Here is a 21190-nt window from a genome sequence, read left to right on the forward strand (position 1 = left end):
TCCACTAGGAGGACTCTCATTTTATTTTACTTATCGGGCTTCCTAGAAAGATTTCATTTGAACAAAGGGTTCCACAACTTTAAAAACACTTGAAAACCAAGGAGTCAGAACTGTACGTTCTAACTCCAAGGCTGGCAATTGAAGAATAAGACCTCAAGTCCCACAGGAAAGCTCCCAGTGGACAAAACAAACACCATCGCTGAGGAGCAATGTAAAGAAAGAGACCTGGGCAAACAGGCCCACTAGAGGACTGGCGTCTTTGGGGTAGAAGGAGAAATTCTATTTTGGACCTGTGGATTCTGAGATGCCAGTGTGGCACCCAACTTGGAAGCCCAACGGGCAGGGATGTAGGGGTCTTAGAGGAGCACAGGAGCTAGACAAACTCTAAATGTGGACAACTTCATTGAGAGAGATGTAAATAGAAAGAAGGGAAGGTCTTAAAAGGTTACAGAAGGCAAAGACAGAAAGGTCTGCCTCAAGACAGGTCTTTCTGGAGAACCTGAATTCTCCTCCAAGGTAGTCTATATCCAGGAGCAGAGAGAGGCACTGGCTGGAAGGCTGCAGGTGGCTTACGGGGCCACAGAAGGGAAAGAGGGAAAGAACAAAGTGGATTGGCTAGGGAGCAGCTCAAAGATTAGACAGTGGGTCCAGGCCTGATGGGGCTGGGACTCTGGGAGAAAATGAAGGTCACAATGAGATAAAAGACGAGGCATAGGGAGAACAGGGAATCCTCTGAAGGAGGCTGTAGAGAACCCAACATTTCACCAGCACACTATTCCGGAAAGCACTCCTGTCAGACAAAGTCAATAGAAAGCCAAAAACAGGAGTAAAAGTCAATGGCTAGGAGAGGAGCTAGGGTGAGGGCAGTTGTGTCTTACCGCCCTGACTGGCTGCGGGATCATGCAGCCCTCCTCAAGCACTTGCTGCAGAAAAGGAAGACTCTCCCTAGAAGGGGAGGCCAGAAGAGACCACCCAGCCCTCTGCTTCCCTTGTCATAGCCATTCCTGAGAATGGAGCCTGACAACAAAGAAAGTCATTTGAAGCTCTTCTCTGTTGATTGAGGAGCCCAATTGAATACTTACAGGAAAACTGGGTACAGATAATGCCTAGGAGAAGATCTAAGCCTGTTTCCCAATTTGCATATGGTGTTATTCATATTAACGATAAAGAAAACTACGTATTTTTAAGTGCAACTATAACTTGATTGAGGACTGGAAAGCCAACATTAAAAGAGAAATAAAATTAAATTAATATTAATTACATTAAGAGATCAAGGGATTCAGATGTTTTAATACCATCATAAACACCTATAACAACAATAATACACCCGAAGTTTCTCAAATTTCTATCTTTAGCTAGACCACCCAACCCTGCTCATTTTGCTCAATGATAAAAATGAAAACCAGGCTGGGCATAGTGGCTCATGCCTGTAATCCCAGCACTTTGGGAAGCTGAGGCTAGAGAATCACTTGAGGCCAGAAGTTTTGAGACCAGGTTGGACAACACTGAGAGACCCCATCTCTACAAAAAATGTTTTAAAGGCCCGGCGCAGTGGCTCACACCTGTAATCTCAGCACTTTAGGAGGCCAAGGCGGATGGATCGCCTGAGGTCAGGGGTTCAAGACCAGCCTGGCCAACATGATGAAACCCTGTCTCTACCAAAAAATACAAAAAATTAGCCAGGCATGGTGGCAGGCACCTGTAATCCCAGCTACTCGGGAGGCTGAGGTAGTAGAATCACTTGAAACCAGGAGGCGGAGGTGGCCAAGATTGCACCGCTGCACTCCAGCCTGGGCAACAAGAGCAAAACTTTGTCTCAAAAAAAAAATGTTTTAAAAAATTAGCCAGGTGCTGGGGCATGCACCTGTAGTCCTAGCTACTCAGGAGGCTGAGGCAGGAGAAGTGCTTGAGCCCAGGCACTCCAGTTTAGACAACTGTCTCCTACCCTGTATCTCCTCCCCTAACCATTGACTTTTACTACCGTGGCTCTATGCTCTATTAGACAACATCATGCCAAAGAAACTGATACTTTCTCAGAAAAGCCTTACTAACTCTAGGAAACAACTAACCATTCTTAAGAATTGAATAGTAACACAACGCACAATAAAAATCAGGCTTCATGACATTTACTGTCTATTCTTCAATGGTTTCCAGAAAGTCAAAAACATCCTTGCCATGAAGAAAGGACAGTAATTAAGAGATGGCCTCCCCCCGGTAACAAACAGTATTAGGAAACTCATCCCACATTTACTACATTAATACAGCCATTAAAAATAATAATGGAGGAAAATATAACTCTTTAACCATTCTGAAAGTACATACCTGCTCAACTCTCTATTACCCTTAACTGTCAAACCTGCTTTCTCTCCAACCAGGATTGGACATCTATATTTCACAAATACAGAATTAAAGTGATACAGCAAATCTAAAATACAAAGCATTAATTAGGTGGTATCATTATTATGTAAGTCATTAAGCCTTTTTAAACACGTACTAGTTTTCTATCAATACAGAAACAAGAGTGAAATATGGCAAAACCTCAACTAACCAGAACAGCTGGGGATTGAGTCACTGAATATGCCTTTCAGATAGGTGAAGGCTTATTTACAATTCTGAACACACATATTTTTTTGGTTAACTGTTCTGGACGACATGCTTTGACACAGGCCCACACCACGAATGTCAGTGATCACACAGTAAGATGGCATCCTGAGACCCAAAAGGCCTTACTCCTTACTCAATGTTACCCTGGACTCCTGCAACCTTTGCTTTTATGTTCTCCTTGTCTTCCACCCTGCTGTCACAATCTGCTCTGTTTCTTTTGTTCGAATAAGCAAGTGTGCCCAAACTGTATCTAAGGACAAGGTACCTGGTTCTCTAGGCTCTGCTGGGCACATACGGAGTTCTTCCAAGGGAGGTAAACAAATCCTAGCAAACAGTATTCTGTGACCTGACCTCCACTTTACCTGCTGTGGAAGTCTTTCAAATAATTTACTTCCTCAAAAAAAATTCTGACACATGCTACAACATGGATGAACCTTAAAGACATTATGTTAAGTGAATTAAGGCAATCACAAAAGGATAAATACTGTATGATTCCACTTAGATGAAGTACCTAGAATAGTCAAAATCATAAAGACAGAAAGTAGAACAGTGGTTGTCTAGGGTGGGAGGAGGGGAGTTGGGGAATCCCTGTTTCATGGGTACAGAGTTCCAGTCTGGGAAGATTAAAAAAGTTCTAGAGATGGATGGTGGTAATGGTTACACAACAATGTCAATGTACTTAATGCCACTGACCTGTACGTGTAAAAGTGGTTAAAATGGTACAATTCATGCTATATGTATATAACTTACCACAACCATACGTTTACAGAGTCTCTCTCTGTTGCCCAAGCTGGAGTGCAGTGATGTCATCTCAGCTCACTGCAACCCCCACCTCCTGGGTTCAAGCAATTCTCCTGCCTCAGCTTCCCAAGCAGCTGGGACTACAGGTGTCCGCCACCACACCTGGCTAATTTTGGTATACTTTTTTTTTATTTGATTTCATTTAAGTTCCAGGATACATGTGCAGGATGCGCAGGTTTGTTACATATAAACATTTTTAATAATAAAAATTTATATCCTCATTATATATCACTATGTTCTAGACAGGCAATATGCTAAGTGCATTGGTGTGATCACCATCTAACCACTCCAAGAGGGTTATTTTATGACGCAAGTCAAAATGAGACCAAAAGGTATCTTAAAGTTACAATTCAAAATTACCATATACTATTTTTAACACAGAAAAAGCATATTTTAGAAGAACCGATCCTTAAGAAAGAACACTAGAAAAAACTGAGAGACAGGAAAGCACTCTAGTCTGGGGAGCAAATTAATGTGAACAGAAATGAAGAACCAGTGGCAGCCCATGGGCAGCCTTACTACTGAGCAAATATTCCATAGTAGCCACCTCAAATGCTTTTTTAAAAACTCTTCAGGGTATAAAAAATAATAATTTGGAATTCAAATCTGAGTACTTGTTGGCTAACACTTTAAATTGAATATCAGCAAGAAAAACTCCTGAGGCATTTTAGTAATTGCTAAATTTCTCATCCCAGCTCATGTTGTCATTCCAAATGTGTGACTGTCCCACACTTTCAACTGCCAACAAACCACCTTCCAACTCTCATCTAAGATCCTCTCCAAATACCATCTCAGACAGAACCCAAGTTTCCCAGATAAACAGATACTGACACTTAACAACCCTATCTGCCCCACATCAGTTTAATAATTAACCTTTCTCTAGACTAAGCAAAAACATCAAAAAAGAACCAATGCACCAGACCAGTATGCCAGTTAAAAAAAAAAAAAAAGACCCAATGCACACAGTACTGTGCATCATGTTGGAAATATCACCTTATAGCCTCTCTCTGCATAGTGACATGCTTGGCTCACTGAAGTTACTCAACTGTTCAAACCACAGAGTTCAACAGGTACTTAACACATCATTTAACACACAATATACAGACTACTTTTTTTTTTGTTTTTATTTATTTTTTTGAGACAGGGTCTCGCTATGTCACCAGGCTGAAGGGGTGTGATCACAGCCCACTGCAACGTCTGTCTCCCTGGCTCAAGAGATATACCTGCCTCAGCCTCCCGAGTAGCTGAGACTACAGGCATGCACCAAGACACCTGAATTTTTTTTTTTTTTTTTTTTTTTTTTTTTTTTTTTGTAGAGACAGGGCTTCCCTATGTTGTCCAGGCTGGTATCAAACTCCTGGACTCCAGAGATCTGCCTGCCTTGGTCTCCCAAAATGCTGGGATTACAGGTGTAAGTCACTGCGCCCGGCCTATTTTTTGTTTTTAAATAAATTCCTTGAGTGACTGCCTGAAGACAAAAGAGAACTAAATAAGGTTATAAACATCCTCTTGAATAAAAGAAAGAATAATTACATACACGTTTTCAGGTGTCTCTGAGTTAGAGGAAAAGGTTTACAATCAAATCATTAAGACTTATGCAGTGAAGTCATATGATTTTTCTATTAATAATGTGTCAGTGTTCTTATCCTTCCTCCCCCTTTTGAAAAGTTTAAACATGAATCTGCAACAACCTGACCACATTCTTTCTATTTTAAATCATTTTCCGCGAGGCGCGGGGGCTCATGCCTGTAATCCCAGCACTTTGGGAGGCCAAGGAGGGTGGATCACCTGAGATCAGGAGTTCAAGACTAGCCTGACCAACATGGTGAAACCCCATCTTTACTAAAAATACCAAAATTAGCCAGGAATGGTGGTGCATGCCCATAATCCCAGCTACTTGGGAGGCTGAGGCAGGAGAATTGCTTGAACCCAGGAGGCAGAGGTTGCAGTGAGCCATGATCGTGCCATTGCACTCCAGCCTGGGCAACAAGAGTAAAAGTCTGTCTCAAAAAAAAAAAAAAAAAAAAAAAAAAAAAAAAATTCTTTTCCAATGAGGTTAGTATCCCCTGAAGAATGGGAGACTCCTATCAAAATCCCACTCCCCAAACTCTAATGGTTTAAAATCTCGCAAGTAACCAAAATCCCCACACACTTTTATCCCATTTAATAACTATGTATATACAGAAATATTATTTTCAAATACAAAATATCCCAGTTAGGTAACGAATGCTATATACTAAAAGAAAAATACTCTGCCATAAGGAAGTTGTATCATTTACTCATTACAAGTTCTTTTATTTTATGTTATTCCAAAATATTGGTTATAAGCCAAATAATCCAAGAAAGCAAAATTTTGGAAAATTATAAGAGAAAAAATGTAACATTAAAAATATTAAAGATGTAAAATGTCTGCCTAAATAATGGCCTTTTGGTTTTTGGACTGTATCTATTTACTTAATGTGAACATAACATGACGCCAAAATAAAAAGCCAATGAAGTTTGTATAGTTCATCTTTTCTACAGACTTTAGAGTTAAATGATACCTGCTGCTACACCACCATTCCACAGCTAAACCCAGTCTAGGTATCACTGTGAAAGCAAAAGTATACTACAGAAGCAGGAAGATTATGGATAGGCAAATCATACTGGGTTGGTTGGTTTGTTTTTTGAGACAGTGTCACTCTGTTACCCAGGCTGGAGTGCAGCAGTGCAATCATAGCTCACTGCAGCCTCGAACTCCTGGGCTCAAAGGATCCTCCCACCTCAGCCTCCTGAAGAGCTGGGACTATAGGTGCCCACCACCGCGCCTGGCTAATTTTTTTATTTTTTTGGAGACACAGGGTCTCCCTTTTCTTTCATCCAGGCTGGCCTCGAACTCCTGGTCTCAAGCGATCCTCTTGCCTAGCCTCCCAAAGTGCTGGGATTATAGGCGTGAGCCACTGTGCCTAGCCAGCAATCATTTTTAAAAGGAAAAATCTGAGTTTACAACAAAACAGCAAAAAAAGGAAATTCCCTTTCATTGTGTATTTTGTTTCTCGTGTATCTCTTTAGTTGCTTCTCTTAAAAATGTAATAGATTTTAAATTAAACAATCTGATCACATAAAAGTCAAGAAATTTAAAAAGAGCCACAAAAAGAAACAATGTATCAATAATAGCTAAGTCATCAATTACTCTCTTGGCTAATGAGGCTGTGAATCTTGGGTGGAGTGACCAAATCCAGCTTAGTTGCTGGTCAGTCAGTTGGCTGGCTAGCTTAACACGGGAAAGACAGAATTATTCAGCGAAATCATTTCACAAAAGAAAACCTTTTAACTTTGTGGACTATTCCCCATGGATCCCTACACCACAGGCCTTAGAACATTCCCAACTTTTATCACACAGATATCTTTGCAGTAAAAAACACAAGCCTTTGTTAGGAACTAACAAAATAAGAATTCACTTACAACATCTAACCCATCTCCTTTACAGTAGGAACAAGAAAAGGCACAAGACGACATTGGTGAAGGAAATGCAAATTGTTGCAGCATTTGCTTCAGTGGAGAATATTTAAAAGTCCACCTTCCTAGAAAGAGGGTTAATAAAAAAAAAAAGGTATCTTAGTCATGCTGATTTTTTTAATCACACCTGACATAATTTTTAGTTAACCTTTTGTTTTTGCTTTCATTGTTGCACTTTAAATGATTTGATAAACCAGCTGACTATCCTGTATATATAAGTCAACTGCTGTCATTGAAAAGGTTGTTAAAGCTTTACGCACACATTCTTAATTCACTTAACTTTAAGAAACCAATTTTCATTCAATTTTCTCAGCAAATTCTAGGCATTAAGAAACTGATTCATCTACTGACACCTTAAACTCTAACTTGTTAGGAAAATTCATGATTCATTCTTCAAATCTGTTGTCTACAAATATATAGTACCTATATTCTAAAAATGGGAAGTCATAGATTAATACCATTGTCTGTGAACATAAGGACTCCCAAGAACTACCAATCGTAACCTGCAAAGTATTGCCCCCACTGAAAAGTGACCTTCTAAGAAGTTCCTCAGGACAGAATTTTAAGTTATTCTGGATTACAAAAACCCTAAGAATCATTATAAAAGCAAAGGGTCATGGCCAACACGGCCATAACTCCAAGTTTACATACAAGCTATCCTCAGTTTGTTAGTATTGCCCCTTTAACCCTCAAAAGGGTCCTGTTTTGAGGCAAAACTCATCTGTGGTGACAGAAGTCAGAATTGTGGTTGCCTTGGGGAGGGGGAATGTGTTTACTGAATGGAAAGGATACAAGGCCTGAAAATGTTCCATATCTTGATCTGAGTGTGGTTATCAGGGCATATACATATATAAAAAGTCATTGAATTGTACCCTTAAGATCTTTCGGTAGGTTATACATACCTCCATAAAAATACATTGTTAAAAATCTATTCAAATAATCATATAAAACCATTCTGGATCTAGCTACCAAGATGTTTTTTCCAAATGAATTTTAATAAAGACACACATTGCGAGCACTTTTATGTAGTACCTCTCAAAATATACACTGTGATTTCTAAGAATCTTTCAGTTAAGAAAGCCACCGAATTTTCGAACTGAAAGCACCCCCAAACATCATCTGTTTATCTTAATGTTGCAAATAAGGAAAATCAAAGCTACAATGGGTAAGAAATGTGCCCAAGATAAGGCAGTTAGTCAATGACAACGGTAATAACAGAACTGTTTCCTGATCTCTGGCCGTTTCTACCAGGCCGTAACTTTTCTGACATCGCAAACAAATCTTAACTCCGAATCTACCTACGGCCTAATTCAACAAATGCCTCAAAACGCTAGTCAACAGGCCTCAAAGTGTACACATGAAGACACATCTTCCTTCATCCTCTCGCCAGTTGACAAATTAATGATTACACGTTCAGGCATTTTACCCAGATGCAATAAAATTAAGAATGACATCTTAGAAAATGTGGTTCAAGAGAAGACATACGCAGGGATTGACAAAATCCATCTTACTTCCTTTCGAATCTCTTTGATGGTTACTTGGTTCTCAAACACAGATCACTGCTAACAGGACTCAAAAACACCACTTGGGACCATCAACCAGTGCTGCTTCGGGCGACCCGCTGGGAACACCCCCACCTGACCCAAGCGTCCACCACTCCTTGAGCACAAGCTCTGGGGGTGACCTGTGCCTGCCGGCTTAGTTTTAGACCCTACGGGAACAGCTGACATCTTGTGAAAAACTTAGCATAACGTACATCCTTTCCGCGGGAATTTATTTCTGTTCGCACAAGGCGTTTCTGCTCCGCACAGAGCAGGCCTTGCTTCCCAGGACGCCGCTCGCCCCTCCACAGCCTCCTTTTCAGCGTCCAAAATCGGACTTTAGGAACAGAAATCGAAACGGTCGCGGACCTCCCGAGCGGCAGGTCGGGGCGCTGCCGGGTCGGCGCGGGGTCCAGCGGCGGTGCCCGGCGGGCCGCGGCGCGGGAGAGGCCCGCTCACTTCACAACGGCGGCCCGGAGCCACCGGTTGCGGCGGCCACTAGACGCTCCGCCACCGCGCAGCGACCGCCCGGGCCCTCCGAAGTTCCGACCGGCCGCGCGCCCGGCCCCAGCTGCGGGTTCGCGCCCCGCCCGGAGCGAGCCCGGGGGGCGGGTCCGCGGGGGCTCGGCGGGCGGAGCGCGGGGCGCGCGCGGGGAGGGGCGCGCGGCGGGCCCGGCGCGCCGGGGAACTTGGGCGCCCGCCACTGCCGCCGCCCGGCCACTTTCCTTTCACGCCTCCCGCGGGCTGACGCGCGCCGCGCTGCCTGCCAGGGGCTGACGGCCGCCGCCGCTCTCCGCCGCGGCGAGGCGCCCAGGCGCGCCCCTGCAGCCGGCCGGCCGGCGCGCGGGACCGCGGGGCCGCGCGCGGGCGCCGCGCTCCCCCCGCCCCGCCCCCGCCCCCAACGTGCCGCCGCCGCCGCCCGTTGGCGCCTCAGCCCGCGCGCCCGCCGGCGCCCGGCGGTTTCCCGTTGGCAAAGTTGCGCGGCCGCTTCGAAGGGGACGCCGTACGGTCCCCCGCCCCGGCGCCGCCGCCGCCCCTCCAGGCCGCCGCGCGGGAAGGCCCAGCCGGTGGCCCCGCTTTTTTACCTGCCCGGAGTTTTCGCGCGCGCGCTCGCTCGATCGCTCGCTTTTCCCCCTCTCGCGCTCGTTTTCTTTCTTTCTTTCCGTCTTTTCGCTCCCCCGCGCGGAAGCTTTTTCCTCCCGTGCTGCCCGCGCTCGCCCGCTCGCGCCCTCCTTCCTGCTGGGTTCGGCGGAGCGGGGCGGCCGGCAGCTCTCCCCGCCCCCCTCCACCCGCGCTCCGGCGGAGGCGGCGGCGGCGCTCCGCGCTCCGACTCATTCCAATATGGCACGGACGCAGGGCGCATGCGCCCGCGCCCCCCCACCCCCAGCTCCGCGGTCCTCCAGGCAGCCTGCGCCCCTCGCGCCGCGCCCGTGGAGCTCCCGGGCCCGGCTGCCCCGCTCCCGCCCCAGCGCCATCCCTCCTGGCTGGGGCCGCGCGGGAGGCAAGGACTCCGCGGGCTGGTGTGCCGGGGGTCCGGCGCCGCGGGCCACCCACGCCCCCAGCCAGCAACTCGGCGCGGACGGCCCCGAGGCCGTGGCGCAGGACACGCGGCGGCGCCTCGGGCCCCCGACGGCGCTGTGGCCCCGAGCGGAACGGCCCGGAAGAGGAGACGCGTCCCCGGGAACCCAGTGCCCGCCCTGGCCCAGCCCCGATCCAGCCTGCGCCTCACCTCGGGTTGTAGACAGAGCGGCGGGGATCCCAGAGGGGTTCGCGGGTCGGACCTGGAGTACCGGCCCGGCGAAGCGCGCCGCTGTCGCCCGCACGTGACTGGCTCGGACAAGATGGCATGAGCGGAGAAGCGGCCGGATCCCAGATGCGCGCGTGCCGCCGCCGCGGGCACTGCGCCCGTTTGCCTGCCCCTCGTCGGGGATCGGGCGCTCCCTCTGAGACCTGAAAGGGCACCCAAGTGCCCCCTGTCTGCGAAGTCCGGCGCGGGCCCTTCGGCGCCCCCGATGTCTCTAGGCTTCCGCAGGAGGCGCCCTGTAAATCTTGAGTCTTCCTGCAGCGAGGGGGCACAGGACAGCTGCGAATTGGGACGAACGAGCCCAGAGCCCCGGGAAGGATCAGAACCTCGAAGGCGGCTTCAAGTCGGCCCCGCAGCCCGAGGTGACCGTGGGCGGTTACGTTGCCCGAGCTCGCCCCCTCCTCCTGAGCGCAGGTGCCCGTGGGACATACACCCGCCCACCTGCTCCGGAAAGTTCCCTCCAGAAGGGAGTTCCCGCGCCACCGAGACCCGGGAGCTCCCGATCAGACTCCCAGGCCGTGAAAGGCGTTATCGGACAGGGCCCAGAGGCGCCCCCACAGCAAGAAGAAAGTCTGGGGTTCTCACCGTGTGCCAGGTGCGAGCTCAAGCCACCTCCCTCAACCGCTCTGAGAAATATCCCACTTCACAAACTTGCTCAAAGTCACGCTGCTGGCTGGATTTGAATCCAGATTTTTTTTAGCACCACTGAAAAAACAATATGACAACCGGAGAAAGAAAAATCTAAAAAGAATACAGTAATCCATATTGTTACAAAGAAATGCAACTTTTCACGACATGAAACATATATATACTGTGTATAGTTGCAACCACACTTTTTTTGTTACTACTTTCACTACCATTTTTATTTGTTCACGATTCATTTTTAAGGTGTGCAGGTGTCCTTAACTATTCACTCAGCCCCCTAATGTTTTTGGTTCTTTACGGTTGTTTGCTAACGTATCCTTGAATTCTGCACTTGGGACAAATACCTGGGAGTGGAAAGGCTCCCAGGTAGAAGGCTATGAATGGCCAAGTGGTCTTGGCTTACAGCGTCATATTTTTCCCAAGAGCTGCCCCAATTATTCTACCGCCTCCAAGGAACAAGTGTAAGGAGTTTAACACACTTATAAACATTGAGTGCCATTTCCCCCCTACTTTAATAGTCTATTGCTAGTTCAAGGTTACTTAGCATTTCTTAGGTGACACAACATTCAAAAATGAATGTTTTTCCATGCATTTACTATATGCATTCCCTCTCCTGTGAATAATCTATTCATATCCATCTTCTGGGGACTTGAACCTCTTCTAACTTTGAACAAGCATTTTTTTATGTTACAGATATTACTTCTTTGTCGTCATTGATGCAAATATTTTCTAGCCTGTTGTTCTTTCTTGTTTTATTCTAATGTTCAGTGTGTCATTCTAATGTTTTAATTGCTTCAGTGCTGACAAAGTGAGCTTTCTGCTGCCCATCTGATAGTCTTTTTTCTGCTAGTTTTGTACAATTTCATTTCATATTTCATTCTCTGATGACTATCCCGATTTTATTTTGGCTTATTTATTTGGAGTAAAATATGGACATAACTCACTACCACTGTCATCGGTTGTTATTAATTCTGCAGTTACCATTTATTAAATAATTATTGACCAGACGTGGTGACTTACACCTGTAGTCCTAGCATTTTGGGAGGTTGAGGCAGGAGGATCACTTCAGGCCAGGAGTTTTAGGCTGCAGTGAGCCGTGATTGTGCCAGTGCACTCCACCTGGGTGACAGAGCAAGACTCCATCTCAAAAAAAAAAAAAAAGGCCGGGCGCCATGGCTCACGCCTATAATCCCAGCACTTTGGGAGGCCGAGACGGGTAGATCACGAGGTCAGGAGATTGAGACCATCCTGGCTAACACAGTGAAACCCCGTCTCTACTAAAAATACAAAAAAATTAGCCAGGCATGGTGGCGGGCGCCTGTAGTCCCAGCTACTCCGGAGGCTGAGGCAGGAGAATGGCGTGAATCTGGGAGGCCGAGCTTGCAGTGAGCTGAGATCGCGCCACTGCACTCCAGCCTGGGCGACAAAGCGAGACTCCAACTCAAAAAAAAAAAAAATTCCTTTGTTTAGTAAAATCTACTTTTACGCTAGACTTTCTATTTTGATTAATATATTTCTGAATTCTCCATTTCCTTCCTTAGACCTCAGTTTGAGCAAATACCATATGAATCTAAATATTGGTTCTTTGGAATAGGTTCTAACATATGAAAAGGCTTGATTCCCTCTCATGCCCTTATGAGGTCTTCTTTTTTCAGATTATCAGTTGATATCCACACTGGTTTATGTGTCTCTACACATCCTAGGATAATCATATAAGGGTTAAGAGGACTGGCTTTGAGGACGGACCATCCAGGTTCAACAACCAGCCCTGTGACCTTGGCAACTTATCTATCCCCTCTGGGCCTTCAGGTCTTGGTCTGTAAAATTAGGATAAGAGTAACAGCTGCCTCTGGCCTGGCGCAGTGGCTCACGCCTGTAATCCCAGCACTTTGGGAGGCCGAGGTGGGCAGATTACGAGGTCAGGAGATCGAGCCCATCCTGGCTAACATGGTGAAACTCTGTCTCTACTAAAAATACAAAAAAATTAGCCAGGTGTAGTGGTGGGCGCTTGTAGTCCCAGCTACTCGGGAGGCTGAGGCAGGAGAATGGCGTGAACCCGGGAGACGGAGCTTGCAGTGAGCCAAGATCGTGCCACTGCACTCCAGCCTGGGTGACAGCAAGACTCCAACTCAAAAAAAAAAAAAAAAAAAAGATTAACAGCTGCCTCACAAGCTCAACGCCTAGGACATAGTAAAAGTTTTGTAAATGTTAGCTATTGTTAATGATTTTTTTGAGACAGAGTCTCGCTCTGTCACCCAGGCTGGAGTGCAGTGGTGCAATCTTGGCTCACTGCAACCTCTGCCTCCTGGGTGCAAGCGATTCTCCAGCCTCAGCCTCCTCAGTAGCTGGGATTACAGGCGCACGCTACCACACCCGGCTAATTTTTGTATTTTTAGTAGAGACGGGGTTTCACCATGTTGGTCAGTCTGGTCTCGAACTCCTGACCTTATGATCCACCCGCCTCAGCCTCCCAAAGTGCTGGGATTACAGGTGTGAGCCACCGCACCCAGCCTTTTTAAAATTTTTTTTGAGAGAGGGTCTCACTCGGTCACCCAGGCTGCAGTGCAATGGTGCTATCATGGCTCACTGCAGCCTCTACCTCCCAGGCTCAAGCAGTCCTCCCGCCTCAGCCCCGAGTAGCTGGGACTACAGGTGTGCACCACCATGCTCAGCTAATTTTTGTATCTTTTGTAGAGACAGGATTTTGCCATGTTGCCCAGGCTGGTCTTGAACTCCTGGGCTCAAGTGATCCACCCGCCTCAGCCTCCCAAAGCGCTGGCCACCACGTCCGGTCCTATCTTTCAATTTATTCAAATATTGTAAAACTCTCTTGCCTTTCTCCAGTGCTCACCTTCATGACCCCTAAGGAAGAAGAACAGAGAACTCAAGGAACAGTTTAAAACTGTCTGCACATCTGACTTGTGTCAGACACTGTGTAGATGTGGGTGTGGGTATGCACATGTGCAGTTGGACAGAATCTCCTTTAACTCTTGCAACATCCTTTAGGACAGGCCGTAACATTCCCTACGGACAAAGAGCAAACTGAGAGCTTCCAGGTCATCCTTAAAGAGAAGCAAAACTTAGCCACAAACCTGGCATGCCAGCTTCTCAACCACGCTACTGGGAAATTCGAGTTGGGGATTGTTGACCGAAGATGCAGCCCCAGAGGCGCACGGAACGAGGGGTAACTTATGGAAAACTGACTTCTGGTCATGACTCACCCCAGTTGAAAGCCTTTCAAGGTTCTCTATTGCACTTTGCAGAAGTCCAAAAGCCTCACTTTGGCCTATAAGGCACCAGGGCCAGGTGCGGTGGCTCAAGCCTGTAAGCCCAAAAGTTTGGGAGCCCAAGGTGGGCGGATCATGAGGTCAGGAGTTCGAGACTAGCCTGGTCAACATGGCAAAACCCCATCTCTACTAAAGATACAAAAAATTAGCCGGGTGTGGTAGCACACACCTGTAATCCCAGCTACTCGGGAGGCTGAGGCAGGAGAATCACTTGAACCTGGGAGGCAGAGGTTGCAGTGAGCTGAGATGGCGCCATTGCGCTCCAGGCTGGGCGACAGGGTGAGACCCCCGTCTCAAAAAAAAAAAAAAAAAGGACTGGCCCTGGCCTGGCGCAGTAGCTGATACCTGTAATCCCAACACTTTGGGAGGCTGAGGTGGGCAGATCACGAGATCAGGAGTTCAAGACCAGCCTGGCCAACATGGCAAAACCCCATCTCTACTAAAAATACAAAAAATTAGCTGGGCGTGGTGGTGCGCGCCTGTAACCCCAGCTACATGGGAGGCTGAGGCAGGAGAATTGCTTGAAGCCGGGGGGGGCGGAGGTTGCAATGAGCCAAGATCGTGCCATTGCACACCAGCCTGGGTGACAAGAGCGAAACTGTGTCTCAAAAAAAAAAAAAAGACTGGCCTGGCCCACCTTCACCTGTCCCATTCAGCTGTCCTACTCACCTGCCTTGCTTGCTGTATTTTAGCTGCACCTGTCTCCTTTCCATTTCATGGGTATGTCACTGTCCTTCCCACTGGCACACTCCCCATCCCACTTCCTGCACCCACCTTTACATAGGTGACACCTTATTGTTCCAGTATCTGCTTAACAAGATGGTCTCCTCAGAGAGGCTTTCCCTGCCCACCCCATCTGAACAGGTTCTCTCTCTCCCCAGTGGTGATATTTCTAATTTATACCTGCATTTGTTTGTCATTTATTTGGGTTCTGTCCCCCCTGTAATCCCACAGATGGACATCAGTCCCCTTGAGCACAAAGACATGCCTGTCTCCATAACCATGAGGTCAGCCCTTTCCCCAAGAGGCAGTGGGAAGACAAGAGGGTGGCTAGTGGGTCATTTGGCAGCATCCAAGACCAGAGGCTGGCACACCCAGGAGGCATCCTGGGCATTCCCAACTTAGTCTCCACTTCCTGCTGGCTTCATGGGTTAGGGGTTGTAACCCTCTGTCATCATTGACCAAGGGGTCAGTGTTCAACCATTCTATATGAACCCCCTATGCCCTGAGGCCTTGCCTGCCCATGAAGCAGGCCTGTTTTCTGCAGGTGGGCATCAACCTGGGGCCTTGTACTGGATGAGAACCTGAGGGCCAGGCCTGGACCCTGGGGACTGGCAGAACCCTTGGCCAGGACATCATGCTGTTTTCAACCCATGAAGAACTGAATGAAATTCCACAAGCCAGCCAGGCCTGCTGTCAGTGATCAGCGGCCCTCCATTGCCACTGACCTGACCAGCCAGCTTCCTTCAGTCAATCCAAATGAGGCCAGTCACATAATGACTCCCTGTGGCTAATTACCCAAGCAATCAGGTGATCCCCACTGTAGAGTCACTGCTCACCCCATGCCATTCTTCACTGAGGTCCAACTGACTATGCTGGCCCTGCTGCCTCGGGAGCACAGACCATGACTCCACATTCTCTGTAACACCTGCCCTGCTTCCCTCCATGTCTTGGCTCCTGCAAACCCTGCTCCACCAGGTGTCCTTCTCACCTACGCTGTGTTGTCAGGGAAAAAACAATGGGTGTGGAGGCAGACAGCTGGAGTCAAGTTCAGAGTTAGTCACTGCTTCTCTATGAGACCTTCTATGGGACCCTTCACCACTCTGGGCTCAGTTTCCTCATCTTTGTAAAATGGGGAGGAAATCAGCTTCTTTGCTGGGTCATAGGAATCCAAGAACAAAATGTGTATAAACATTCTTTGCAAACTGTAAAGCACAACAGAATGATGAGAAATAGTTGTCCTGACCTCAAAGCCATCTCCTCCAGGAGGCCTCCCAAGATTGCTCCCCTTCTTTCTCTGTCTTCCTAAAGCACTTAGCTTGCTTTTCCTCAGTTGCTTACCACAGAACAGGCACTGGCCCTCTTGACCCCGTTTTCTATCCTTGAGTGCCACAAGCCCAGGATTATGTCCCCATTCATCCCCAAAGACCGCTTCTCTTGGAGAAAATATATTAATGGGCACAGTGTTCCAATTTTATGTTATTGAGCCATGCATTTTTCTTAAATTATTTTGCACCTTCAACTTCTTATCCGCTAATAAGAGGTCACAGGCACCAAATAAGTGACCAAGGACGCTCAGCAATACCGGAAAAAAGAGGGAGCAGTTCTTTGGGTTGGAGGTTGGAGTGTCTTTTTTTTTTTTTTTTTTTTTTTTGAGACGGAGTCTCGCTCTGTCTCCCTCTGTGGATCACTTGAGCTCATGAGTTTGAAACCAGCCTGGGCGACATGGTGAAACCCCACCTCTACAAAGAATACAAAAATTAGCCAGGTGTGGTGGTGCACACCTGTAGTCCCAGCTACTTGGGAGGCTGAGGTAGGAGGATGGCTTGAACCTGGGAGGTGGAGGTTGCAGTGAGCTGAGATGATGCCACTGCACTCCAGCCTGGGCAATAGAGCCAGACCTTGTCTAAGAAAAAGAAAAAAAAATTGTATGAGGAATGTATACAGTGACTGGGACAGAGGACACAAACTGGTAGGCCCTGTGTCAAATGTGGCCCAGATGGCGCTTTGCTGTTGTTGTTGTTGTTTTATTTTGTTTTGTTGCTTTTTTTGTGAGACAGGCTCTTGCTCTGTCACCCAGGCTGGAGTGCAGTGGCACAATCATGGCTCACTGCAGCCTTGATCTCCCAGGCTCTAGTGATCCCTCCACCTCAGACTCCCAAGTAGCTGAGACTACAGGTACGTGCCACCATGCCTGGCTAATTTTCGTATTTTTTTAGAGATGGGGGTCTCACTATGTTGCCTAGGCTGGTCTCAAACTCCTAAGCTCAAGTGATCTGCCCCGCATTGGCCTCCCAAAGTGCTAGGATTACAGGCATGAGTGTGGCCAAGATTTTTTTACAATACTTTTTTTTTTTAGGTATAATTTGCATACAATAAAATATACCCATTTTGGGCTGTGTGCGGTGGTTCACGCCTATAATCCCAACACTTTGGGAGGCTGAGGTGGGCAGATCACATGAGGTTGGGAGTTTGAGACCAGCCTGGCCAACATTGTGAAACCTCATCTCTACTAAAAATACAAAAATTAGCCAGGTGTGGTGGTACACGCCTGTAATCCCAGCTACTCGGGAGGCTGAGCCATGAGAATCCCTTGAACCCAGGAGATGGAGGTTGCAGTGAGCCAAGATCACCCCACTGGCCTCCAGCCTGGGCGATAGAACAAGACTCTGTCTCAAAAAAAAAAAAAAAAAAAAAAAAAAAAAAATATATATATATATATATATATATACATATACCTATTATATAAGTGTAGAGTTCTCTGAGTGCTCACAGAGGTGCAGCCCATGTAACCACCACCACGAAGACACAGAGACTTCTTTTTTTTTTTTAAGGGAGTCTCTCTCTGTCACCCAGGTTGGAGTGCAGTGTTGTAATCTCGGCTCACTGCAACCTCCGCCTCCCAGGTTCAAGCAGTTCTTCTGCCTCAGCCTCCTGGGTAGCTGGGATCACAGGCACGTGCCACAATGCCCGGCTAATTTTTGTATTTTTAGTAGACGGGGTTTCACCATGTTGGCCAGGCTGGTCTCGAACTCCTGATCTCAAGTGATTTGCCAGCCTCGGCCTCCCAAAGTGCTAGGATTACAGGCGTGAGCCACCGCTCCTGGCCAACACAGAGCCTTCTAATGACTCCCCTCACCCATAGGCAAACACTGATCTGATTTCTAGTTTCAAGATTACTTTTGCCTGTTTTTATAAACTTCATCATAGGCCGGGCACAGTGGCTCATGCCTGTAAACCCAGCACTTTAGGAGGCCGAGGGGGGAGGATTGATTGAGGCCAGGAATTCGAGACCAGCCTGGGCAACATAGCAAGACCCCATCTCTACAGAAAATTTAAAAATTAGCCAGATGTGGTGGCCCAAGCCTGTAGTCCTAGCTACTCTGGAGGCTAAGCTGCGAGGATCACTTGAGCCTGGAGGTCAAGACTGCAGTGAGCTGTGATTGTGCCACAGCACTCTAGCCTGGGTGACAGAGTGAGACTTTGACTCAAAAAAAAAAAAAAAGAAAAAGAAAAAAAGAAAAAAAAAGAAAAGAATAAAGAAAGAAAAGACAAGAAAAGACAAGAAAAAAATTTCATCATAGAGCAATACTCTCTGTCTGTTTTTTATTATTATTTTTTGTTCAGCTCCTCCAAGTAGCGATCCTGTCTGGTTGCTTTTTTCTTTGTTGTTGTTGTTGTTGTTGTTGTTGTTGTTGTTGTTTTCGAGACGGTGTCTCACTCTGTCGTCCAGGCTGGAATGCAGTGGTGCCATCTCAGCTCACTGCAGCCACTGCCTCCCAGTTCAAGCAGTTCTCCTGCCTCAGCCTCCCGAGTAGCTGTGATTACAGGTGTGAGTCACAGCACTCAGCTAATTTGTGTGTGTGTGTGTGTGTGTGTGTGTGTGTGTGTGTGTGTGTTTTCAGTAGAGACAGGGTTTCTCATGTTGGCCAGGCTGGTTTTGAACTACTGACCTCAAGCGATCCACCTATCTCAGCCTCTCAAAGTGCTTGCATTACAGGCGTGAGCCCCAGTCCCTGTCTACCTTTTTGTTTTGAGACAGGGTCTCACTTCATTGGTGCAATAATTGTGCACTGCAGCCTCTAACTCTTGGCTTCAAGTGATCCTCCTGCCTCAGCCTCCTGAGTAGCTGGGACTACAGGCATGTATCACTACATCTTTTCTTATTTTTCATAGAAATGGGGTCTCACCATGTTGCCCAAGCTGGCCTTGAACTCTAGTCTCAAGTGATTCTACCACCTCCGCCTCCCAAAGTGCTGAGTTTACAAGTGTGACCTGCTGTGTCAGGCGTCCTGTTTGTTTCTGAGATTCATCCATGTTTCTACATGTATCAGATTATTCCTTTTCTTTTTCCTTTTTCTTTCTTTCTTTTTTTTCTTTTTTTTTTTTTTTTTTTTGAGTTGGAGTTTCGCTCTGTCGCCCAGGCTGGAGTGCAGTGGCGCAGTCTCTGCTCACTGCAACCTCCACCTCTCGGTTTCAAGTGATTCCCCTGCTTCAGCCTCCCGAGTAACTAGGATTATAGGCGTGTGCCTGTCATTACCACGCCTGGCTAATTTTTGTATTTTTAGTAGAGATGGGGTTTCACCATGTTGGCCGGGTTGGTCTTGAACTCCTGACCTCAGGTGATCTGCCCACTTCAGCATCCCAAAGTGCTGAGATTACAGGTGTGAGCCACTGCACCCGGCCTCTTTTTTTCTTTAATGTTAAACTACTCCTTTATTGCAAGGTAAATCATATTATTTCAATCATATAGAATGCCCAGGGGATGGAGATTCAAGAGTTCCCTTTTGTACTGGCCTTCAAAATATTGTACCTACATGAATGTATGCCTTCCAAAATACTTAAATCATATTATTTAATATATTTATACTAGTCTAATAAAACATTACATATATTGTAAAACACAAAATATAGAAATGTTAAAAAGAAGAAGTAAAGAGGAGATAAATACTATTTTTAAATTATTTTGTTTGCCAAAGAAGTATAATCATTTTGCCCCTCATAAAATATTATATTAAATCATGTTATTATATTAAATGATATTAAAGACAATTATGATATTAAAATATTAATAGTATTTTAATGAAATGAATATGATTGAAAATGTTTCTGTTTTTCTATACTACTGAAGTATAGTTGAAGTACAAAAAGACACATATCTATAAAGTGATAGCCCCTCAACCCTACCTGACCCCCAGGCCTTGGAATTGACCTCTCTAGGGTGAAACCTGGGTGATAGCTTATTTTCAACATGGCATCCAGCGCAGGCAAGAGCATTCTTCATGACCCTCATGGCCCTTTTGGAGAAGCCAGGGCAGGAGGTTTGTGAAGAAGGCTGTTCATCTGGCCCTTGGAAGGGACTTGGCAAGGCAGGCCCAACCAGGAGAAGAGAGGATAAAGGGAGATACCACCATGGACCTTCCTATACTCTCTCTCCATAGCCACCTGCTGGGCTTAGGCAAGCACTGCCTGAATCCCTCTGCTGCCCAGAGTCCTTCACACCCCCACCTTTTCACCATGAGTGGAGACCACAGTTCCTGCCTGTCCGATGCCCTCTGTCACAGTCCCTGCCTCTCCCTACTCTGCCATTCTTTCTTTCATATTAAGGTATAGTCTACATATTTAGGTTGGTGCAAAAGCAATTGCAGTTTTTGCTATTACTTTTAATGGCAAAAACTGTGATTACTTTTGCACCAATGTAATACAATAACTGTCAGGATATTGCTGTGAAGCTACAAGATGTTCACAAGGACATTTCATGTGTTTGTTTGATGCCTGTTACAGCTACAGAGTAGTTTACTTTTTTATTTTTTATTTATTTTTTGAGCTGGAGTCTTGCTCTGTCACCCAGGCTGGAATGCAATGGCACCATCTCGGCTCACTGCAACCTCTGCCTCCCGGGTTCAAGCGATTCTCCTGCCTCAGCCTCCCAGTAGCTGGGACTGTAGGCATGCACCACCACACCTGGCTAATTTTTGCATTTTTAGTAGAGACGGGGTTTCACCACATTGGCCAGGCTGGTCTTGAACTCCTGACCTCAGGTGATCCACCCACCTCGGCCTCCCAAAATGCTGGGATTACAGATGTGAGCCACCATGCCCAGCCTGGAGCGGTTAAATCTCCCTGGTTGATAAGAGTCTCATAGTTTCCTGCCTGGGCTTACCAGCCAAATTGATGGTGCCACCTCTAGGCCCCCACTTGGTTCCCACGTGTTAGCACTAGATGGATTTGAGAAGAAAGAAATTTCTGCATAGTACAGACAAAATTGGGAAAATGCCCATAGATCTTGC

The 21190-nt window shown here is 46.8% G+C and overlaps 1 protein-coding gene across 1 annotated transcript in view, besides 7 other annotated features; it reads right to left on the bottom strand.

Moving 5' to 3' along the window:
* The window catches only part of SFMBT1 (Scm like with four mbt domains 1), a 142502-nt gene extending 132715 nt beyond the window's left edge, over positions 1-9787 (bottom strand). Inside the window, exon 1 of the mRNA NM_016329.4 lies at positions 9530-9787. The gene's annotated coding sequence lies outside the window, so the exon portion shown is untranslated. The remainder of the gene's footprint in view (positions 1-9529) is intronic.
* Positions 620-789: an enhancer, noted in NCBI's record as "experimental_70686 CRE fragment used in MPRA reporter constructs". NCBI's record gives its function as "activates a minimal promoter by MPRAs in K562 erythroleukemia cells, with activity observed for the introgressed 3:53071007 variant allele {active_cell/tissue: K562}" and the evidence as "EXISTENCE:reporter gene assay evidence [ECO:0000049][PMID:34662402]".
* Positions 8826-9115: a silencer, noted in NCBI's record as "silent region_14455". NCBI's record gives its function as "represses an Ori minimal core promoter by ATAC-STARR-seq in GM12878 lymphoblastoid cells {active_cell/tissue: GM12878}" and the evidence as "EXISTENCE:reporter gene assay evidence [ECO:0000049][PMID:35858748]".
* Positions 9476-9535: a silencer, noted in NCBI's record as "silent region_14456". NCBI's record gives its function as "represses an Ori minimal core promoter by ATAC-STARR-seq in GM12878 lymphoblastoid cells {active_cell/tissue: GM12878}" and the evidence as "EXISTENCE:reporter gene assay evidence [ECO:0000049][PMID:35858748]".
* Positions 9636-9955: a silencer, noted in NCBI's record as "silent region_14457". NCBI's record gives its function as "represses an Ori minimal core promoter by ATAC-STARR-seq in GM12878 lymphoblastoid cells {active_cell/tissue: GM12878}" and the evidence as "EXISTENCE:reporter gene assay evidence [ECO:0000049][PMID:35858748]".
* Positions 10006-10115: a silencer, noted in NCBI's record as "silent region_14458". NCBI's record gives its function as "represses an Ori minimal core promoter by ATAC-STARR-seq in GM12878 lymphoblastoid cells {active_cell/tissue: GM12878}" and the evidence as "EXISTENCE:reporter gene assay evidence [ECO:0000049][PMID:35858748]".
* Positions 10103-10604: an enhancer, noted in NCBI's record as "H3K4me1 hESC enhancer chr3:53080405-53080906 (GRCh37/hg19 assembly coordinates)". NCBI's record gives its function as "activates a minimal SCP1, AML or CMV promoter by ChIP-STARR-seq in naive H9 embryonic stem cells {active_cell/tissue: H9 hESC(naive)}" and the evidence as "EXISTENCE:reporter gene assay evidence [ECO:0000049][PMID:30033119]".
* Positions 10605-11104: an enhancer, noted in NCBI's record as "H3K4me1 hESC enhancer chr3:53080907-53081406 (GRCh37/hg19 assembly coordinates)". NCBI's record gives its function as "activates a minimal SCP1, AML or CMV promoter by ChIP-STARR-seq in naive H9 embryonic stem cells {active_cell/tissue: H9 hESC(naive)}" and the evidence as "EXISTENCE:reporter gene assay evidence [ECO:0000049][PMID:30033119]".

The sequence above is a fragment of the Homo sapiens genome, chromosome 3, assembly GCF_000001405.40.
Source record: "Homo sapiens chromosome 3, GRCh38.p14 Primary Assembly".
In the NCBI taxonomy this organism is placed as follows: domain Eukaryota; kingdom Metazoa; phylum Chordata; class Mammalia; order Primates; family Hominidae; genus Homo; species Homo sapiens.